A 7119-nucleotide genomic window follows, 5' to 3' on the forward strand; every position below is an offset into this window, starting at 1 on the left:
TTTTATTTAAATAAAAAGGAGCTAAATGAATTGCAGACAACTACAAATTAATAGTTTATACCTTTCAATTTTAGAATTAACGATATATTTTTCTTTATTTTTTGAGTTTTCATTATTGTGATGTATTATGCTGAAATTAGCAAAAAAAAAAAAAAAAGAGTAACTATCTGACTGATACAGAAATTTGTAATGAGAAGTAAGGTGTGTCCCTAACAAACCCACCTATGAGTCAGTTTGAAGGTAACAAGAAAATTTTTATCACAGTCGGGGAGAATGGGAACCTGTGATATGTGGCAGTGACATATTGTTAACACTGTGCACTGAGCTGACTTCAGAAGTATTTGTGTACCTAATGATTTCCAGTGTCATCAAACGTAGGTAAGAACACTGAGTATTAGCACTGGTTGATATTTGGTCTCTACAATAGTGAGTATGGTGGTTAATTTTAGATGTCAACTTGAATGGACTAAGGGTTGCCTAGGTAGCTAGCAAAACCTATTAAAGTATTATTTAATATAGTATTGTAGAATATACATTAAATACATTATGTTACATGTATTATAATGTAACACATTATAATATATTAAAGACATTATTACGTTAATACAGCACTTAGTATAGTATTACTTAATACATTAAAATGGTAACTAAGCTTGATGAATCCCTGAGCAAAGCCAGTTAGACCTCATAAGCAACCTCTCAACCTTGCTTGCTTTGCAAACATAAACAAAACTTCAGGTATTTTTTGTAAATGCCTATATGAAAGAAAAACAGAACTTTCTTTTTCTTTCCAAATAGGAGTGTTTACTATAGTTTTCCTGTTCCTGTATCACATTACACACTGTGTGTGGGAGAGCAGAGAGATTTAACTTACAAGTTTTAGATCAAGAGAGCATAACCAGATCCCAGGTTAAGACTTAACACTACAGAATACTCATATTAGTAATACTTGTCTTATAAAAAGATATACTCTTCACTGTAATTGCTGCAAACAATACTGTAAAATAATATGCAGTGTGTTTGTGAAAGGTCAATAACATGCTTATATTTTTGCTGTTGAAAAACTACACAAAAGCAAATGACTAGAACAGTAGATCAATTAGTATCAGTAGAATTATACCATCAAACATTCCACTGAGCTTGAATGTAAGATCTGACATAACCAGATAATTCCATGGCAGGGCAATAAACTGCATTTACATTCTCTTTCTAACAATTAGTGCAAGCATATCCAGATAATCTATATTGATTCTACATTATCTTAGAGTGAAATCACCTAATAACTTCTTCAGTAGTCTTTCTTTTAATTTTTATCCTAATTATCCGTCTGAAAATGATCTTTTAAATTGGGAAAACTCTGATTACCTTACATCCTTCAGTTCAGAGTAGCATTGGGTAAAGACATTTTGGCTGCAGACAAATCACTCTTTCATAGTCATCAGCTTTCAGAACATTCTAAGGCTTCATTTTCCATCTAAACTTTTCAGTTAATTTGACTCTAACTTTTAATTGATGTTACTGAGCAGCAAAGGAGCCTGAAGGACACTGCTTTGTTTTGAAAAATGAAGAAAGAAAGGAATGTAAATCCTGTAAATGTAATTCTAATGAAATCAAGATACAATATAGTGTTTATAAAATGAAATACAATTATTTCTAATAACTGTACTTTCATTTCAAATAATTTTCAACAAGTTAGTGACGTAGAATAAATACAATTCCAGAAGAATCCAGGATTTTTTTTCTATTGCATTGCTTTTTATTAAATTATAGCTACTTGAAGGCTTTGAAAAATTGAACACCAGTAAAACTGCCCTTCTTTTGTTAATATGTTTTGTTTTCTTGTTTCATTTTTAATTCAACTAGTCATTCACCAGAAAAAATTTACTCAGGTAAACTTTTTTGATTATCCTTTCATAGCATTTAACGCAAGTGTTATTTGTTGTAGTCTTTTGTCTATGAATCTATTAATGCTAAGAAACTGAACATTCCTAGGAGTGTCCTAATAAGAAAGAAAAATTAACAATTTCAGCTGTATTTTTACTTAAATAAATATTCATATAGTTTACCTTTCAGGATCACAACAAACACTTTGATTATATAAGAAGGTCTTTGTATATACATCAGACTACCAAGAAGTCATATCTGATTTTGTGCTTTTCTACTACTCTTCCCCCAAACACTTGTTCAAAAAGTTTACTTTTAAAGGGTCTGAACTGTGTGTCAAGCACTGACATCAGCATGTTACCTGAATTAACTCATTAAACTCTTGTGATACTCATGTGGTATTAGCAGTGAAGAAACTGAAGCACAGAAGCTTCAAGTAAAATGTCCGGTTTTAGAGCAACTGAACAGTAGAGTATGGAAGCCCAGTTACTGACCTTGTACCATTGCCCAGTACTGTGAACTGACCTAAAAAGGCCTATGAGATATCAACCCATTAAGATCCATGACATAAAGAAAATTGTTTGTCCTACAATATCCCAATCTGGATGAAGGCACATAAAGAGAATATGCTTAAGCATGATGACAAAAAAATAAGAAAGAACTGTGAATGCACTTTACAAAACAGAAAAGAACACAAGGGACTTTGGAACCAAGTTGAAAATTAAATATGTTCATGTGCACATAACAAAAGAGTGATCATAAATAAACTGTGTCAACACTGTACTATGAAGGTGAAACTTCCTTTTTAGGATTAGCTAAACCTTGTATAACTTGTAAAAAAATGCAACCACATATGTTGATGTACTAAACCCAGTGTTTTCTTTTGGCTTATATACCAAAAACAGGAATTCCTTCCTGTAATGAAGAAAAAACACAGGCATCAAGGAGTAACAAAATTAATGTCTTAGAATGTAAAATATAGAAACACCAATTAAGGCTCTTTTTTTTTTTTTTACATAATACATGTGAAAACTGCATCAGAATTTACAAAAAATCTACAGCGTAATTTGTTCTGGCAATAACCAATCACATTCTGCTGGAGGTAACTTTAGTAACGTCAAGCAAAAGTCTTAAAATTATGACAGGTGGCATTCATTTAAAATACTCTCAAGAGCTCTTAGAAATCAAGAACACAGGAGCTGCGGCGGTGGCGGTGCAGGAGGCCGGGCAGGGGTGCGGAGGGACCGACGGACGCACGGGCGGGCGGCCGGGAGCCATGGAGCGCGGCCCTGGGGCCCGGGGGCGCGGGCCGGGGTGGGCTTCCCACGGCACGACATGGAGACCTGTGGTTGCGAGGCTCCCTGGGGCTCGGCTTGGACCGCGATGGGGCTGGGCCCTGGCCTCCTAACGGGGCTGCTGTCTGGGGCGGTAGCTGCGGGGGCGCTCTCCCCTCTGCCCGCGACTCGGAGCACCCCCACCCCTCCCCTGCCGGGCCAGGCCGGGCGGCGTTGTTGGCGGGGGCCCCGGTGGAGGCCCGGCCCAGGCGGCGCCCGCCATGAACGGGCTGTCGTTGAGTGAGCTCTGCTGCCTCTTCTGCTGCCCGCCCTGCCCCGGCCGCATCGCTGCCAAGCTCGCCTTCCTGCCGCCGGAGGCCACCTACACCCTGGTGCCTGAGCCCAAGCCGGGGCCTGGTGGGGCCGGGACCGCCCCCTTGGGGACCCTGCGGGCCTCCTCGGGCGCACCGCACCCGGGCGCAGGAAGCTGCACCTGACGGAGCATACCGACTTCCAGTACAGCCAGCGCGAGCTGGACACCATCGAGGTCTTCCCCACCAAGAGCGCCAGCGGCAACCGCGTCTCCTGCATGTATGTTCGCTGCGTGCCTGGTGCCAGCTTCTACATTGGCCTGGGCTCCCGCCTCCACTGCAACATCTTCTCCTACGACTACTCCGGCTACGATGCCAGCTCGGGCAGGCCTTCCGAGAGGAACCTCTATGCCGACATCGACGCCGCCTGGCAGGCCCTGCGCACCAGGTGAGGGCGACCCTGGGGGCAGCTCAGCCTGGGCACACCCAAGAGGGGACCAGGCCGGGGGCCGGGGGGCGGGCTTCCCTGGGAGGAAGGTGGGCGGCCCTGCAGGAGGGGAGCCACAGTGGATACACAGGGCCAGAGAGCGGGACAGGCGAGCTTGGGTGTGCAGGTGCCTCCTCCACATGGCTGAGGTGTGGCCAGGCGGTCCTCCCACACCCTGGCCTGTGGAGCCAGGCTCCCTGGGAACCCCTGGCCTGAGGATGGGAAGGGGCTGAGCTTGTCACAGGGGCGTGGATGCCACCCGGCGGGAGGGAGTGGGTGGTCGTCTGGGGGTCTGTGCACGTGTGGCTGGGAGCCCATCGGCCGAGGCAGCACTTGGGGCCAAGTGAGGCGAGGCTGCTGCATCCAGGTCCGGAGGCCTGGCCCATGAGGCCCTGTGGCTACGGAGCTTGGCCATCCTGGGGCAGGGCCTACAGGGTAAGGTGCAGACTCGCAGCACACATCCGAGGTCTGGGCCAGCCTCGATTCCAGATCCAGCCCTCCTAGTCATCCACGTCCCCAGCCCTGCGCTTGCCTGGGCCCTTCACCGGTGTTTGAGCACCGCCCGGGCCAGTGCTGCTTTGGACGAGGAGACCCAGGTGGGCCTCTGGTGGCTTTTCCTGCTCGCCATCCACTGGGGCTGTCTCGTCCTGGCCCAGCCCAGCCCACTGGTCTGACCTGCTCCCGCAGGGACCAGGCACAGCTCTGAGAAGTCAGAGGCCCTAGGGAGGTGGGGTCATCGTTGCCTTGGTGATATGCAGGCAGTCCCTGCTGTGGGCCTGGGAGCTGGTCCCCTGGCACCACCCTGGCTCTGGGGGCCTCCCAGCAGTGTGGGACGCTGACACCAATCACCACTTCATGCGACTTCCTTGGCCCCTCCTGTCTCTACTGCCTGGGCCACTGGCAGAGTCACACCTGCCATGGCCACCTCTGAGCTCTGTCTGCTCGGCCATCTGTCCTGCTGCCACTTTGTCCTGCAGGAACCTAGGCCCAGAGCTGTGAGGGGGAGGCCAGAGCGTGCCCAGGGCCTCCACTGGGGATGTGTCCTGTTCGTTTGAGTGGTGACATCCAGGTGGCAGCTGGGGGCTCCTGCCTGTAGCAGGTGACAGGGCTGGGCTGGCTCAGCACACTACTGACCATGGCTGCCAGGGAGCAGGCCAGGGAGGCTGAGGCAGAGCTGGAACCACAGGCACAAGCCAGGCAGCATCCTTTGGGGCATGGGTGAGTGGCGAGCTGTGGAGTGCTGCCAGGAGGCTGGGATTCCAGGCCAGGGACGGGGACAGCCCTGCTGGTGGAGTCCAAATGCCAGGCAGAGGGGATGCACACCTGCCCATGCTCCTGCCTTGCAAGAGGGCATCTGCCTGGGATCAGAGCCTAGAGCCTGTGGGAGGAGAGTTGTGGGGTCCCGGCATGGGCAGGGTGGCAGGTGGGTCCCGCGTGGTTGGGACTGGGCACGAGGAGGCCTTGTAACTGGTGCTGGATCAGCTGGGTCAGGGGCCACACACCAATGACCTGGGGATGGGGGTGGCCCTGGGTGGGAGCTGGTAGTGCTGAGGTGGCTGAGGACCTGTCCACTCCCAAGGGAAGGTGCTGGTGGGAGGACCACCTCCGCAGCCACCACCCTCGATGCTGACCTGGGTTGCACTGGCATCTCATTGGGCGTGGGGACTCCGAGAGTCCAAAATTGGGTGGAGACATTTGGGGACACAGCTGCCTGAATTCCTCATGGCCAAGGGGGTGGGCAAGGGCTGCAGGGAGGAAGTGTCCGCTGTCCTGGCCAGTGCACCAGGAACGGCTTTCTAACCCGGGCAGGAAGGCGTGAAGCATTCAGGATGTGGGGGCCACACAGTTCCCAGTGTGCACCTAGGGGTGACCAGGAGGAGGAAAGGCGCCAGGGCCTCCCCTACCCCCGCCCCAGGGGCACTCCGTAGGCGAGATCCCTGCAGATCCTAGCTAGGAAACGCCAGTGAACGGCAGCGCAGGGAACGGGGCGGGGCCGCTGGCTTCGCCCACCGCCGCGGTGTTGGGGGCTGGGGGTGGCCCTCGGGACTGGTGTGGAGCCTGGGCCTGACCCACTGACTTGGCTGAGTGGGGAGACTGGAGGGTCGCATCCGGAGCTGGGCCCGGGGACGCCCGCTGGTGGGAAGGGTGTGCGCGCGTCGGAGGCCGCGGCTGACCCTGCTCCGGCGCTGCCAGGTACGGCATCAGCCCGGACAGCATCATCCTGTACCGGCAGAGCATCGGCACGGTGCCCACCGTGGACCTGGCCTCGCGCTACGAGTGTGCCGCGGTGGTGCTGCACTCGCCGCTCACCTCGGGCATGCGCGTCGCCTTCCCTGACACCAAGACGACCTACTGCTTCGACGCCTTCCCTAAGTGAGCGGCCCGGGCGGGGACGGAGGCGGGGCGGGGACGGAGGCGGGGCGGGGCCCGGGCCGGGCGCTAAGTCTCACCCGCTCCACGCCCCTCCCGCAGCATCGAGAAGGTGTCCTAGATCACGTCGCCCGTGCTCATCATCCACGGCACGGAGGACGAGGTGATCGACTTCTCGCACGGGCTGGCGCTCTACGAGCGCTGCCCCAAGGCGGTGGAGCCGCTGTGGGTGGAGGGCGCCGGGCACAACGACATCGAGCTCTACAGCCAGTACCTGGAGCGCCTGCGTCGCTTCATCTCCCAGGAGCTGCCCAGCCAGCGCGCCTAGCGGCGGCCCCAACCGGCCGGACCTCAGCAATAAGGCGGCCCCCGGACCTCACCCCGCGCCGGCCCCCCAGGGGCTGCATGTGGACCCCCCGGGCGGCCCGGGGGACCCCGCCCCGACCCAGGGGCTGTGGACGATGTACAGGCAACAGAGCTACGCACTCCTTTCCTTTTGGAAGCAAGAAGAAAATACGTGAAAACGGAAATTAAAGATTTAAAATTAAAAAAAAAAAAAGAAATCAAGAACACAATATCTGGACCCTTGATTTGAATCCACAATCAGTGTCTTTCTAACTGGGAAATTTTGGACAAAGTTTTAAACTTTCCTGAACATAAAATGCCTAGCTAGCAATAACTTTAGAAAATACTAGGAGTTTGTAAAGTTACAAGAATCAAATGAGTTAATAAATGTAATGTAAAGTAATAACTGGCACAAAATAATTATAACATAATTCATTATTATTTTTTA

General features: G+C 50.9%; 1 pseudogene, besides 1 other annotated feature; it reads left to right on the top strand.

Moving 5' to 3' along the window:
* ABHD17AP6 (ABHD17A pseudogene 6) lies at window positions 3080–6872 on the top strand (annotated as a pseudogene).
* Window positions 6264–6383: a silencer, noted in NCBI's record as "silent region_8309". NCBI's record gives its function as "represses an Ori minimal core promoter by ATAC-STARR-seq in GM12878 lymphoblastoid cells {active_cell/tissue: GM12878}" and the evidence as "EXISTENCE:reporter gene assay evidence [ECO:0000049][PMID:35858748]".

This window comes from Homo sapiens, chromosome 17 (assembly GCF_000001405.40).
Source record: "Homo sapiens chromosome 17, GRCh38.p14 Primary Assembly".
Classification (NCBI taxonomy): Eukaryota; Metazoa; Chordata; class Mammalia; order Primates; family Hominidae; genus Homo; species Homo sapiens.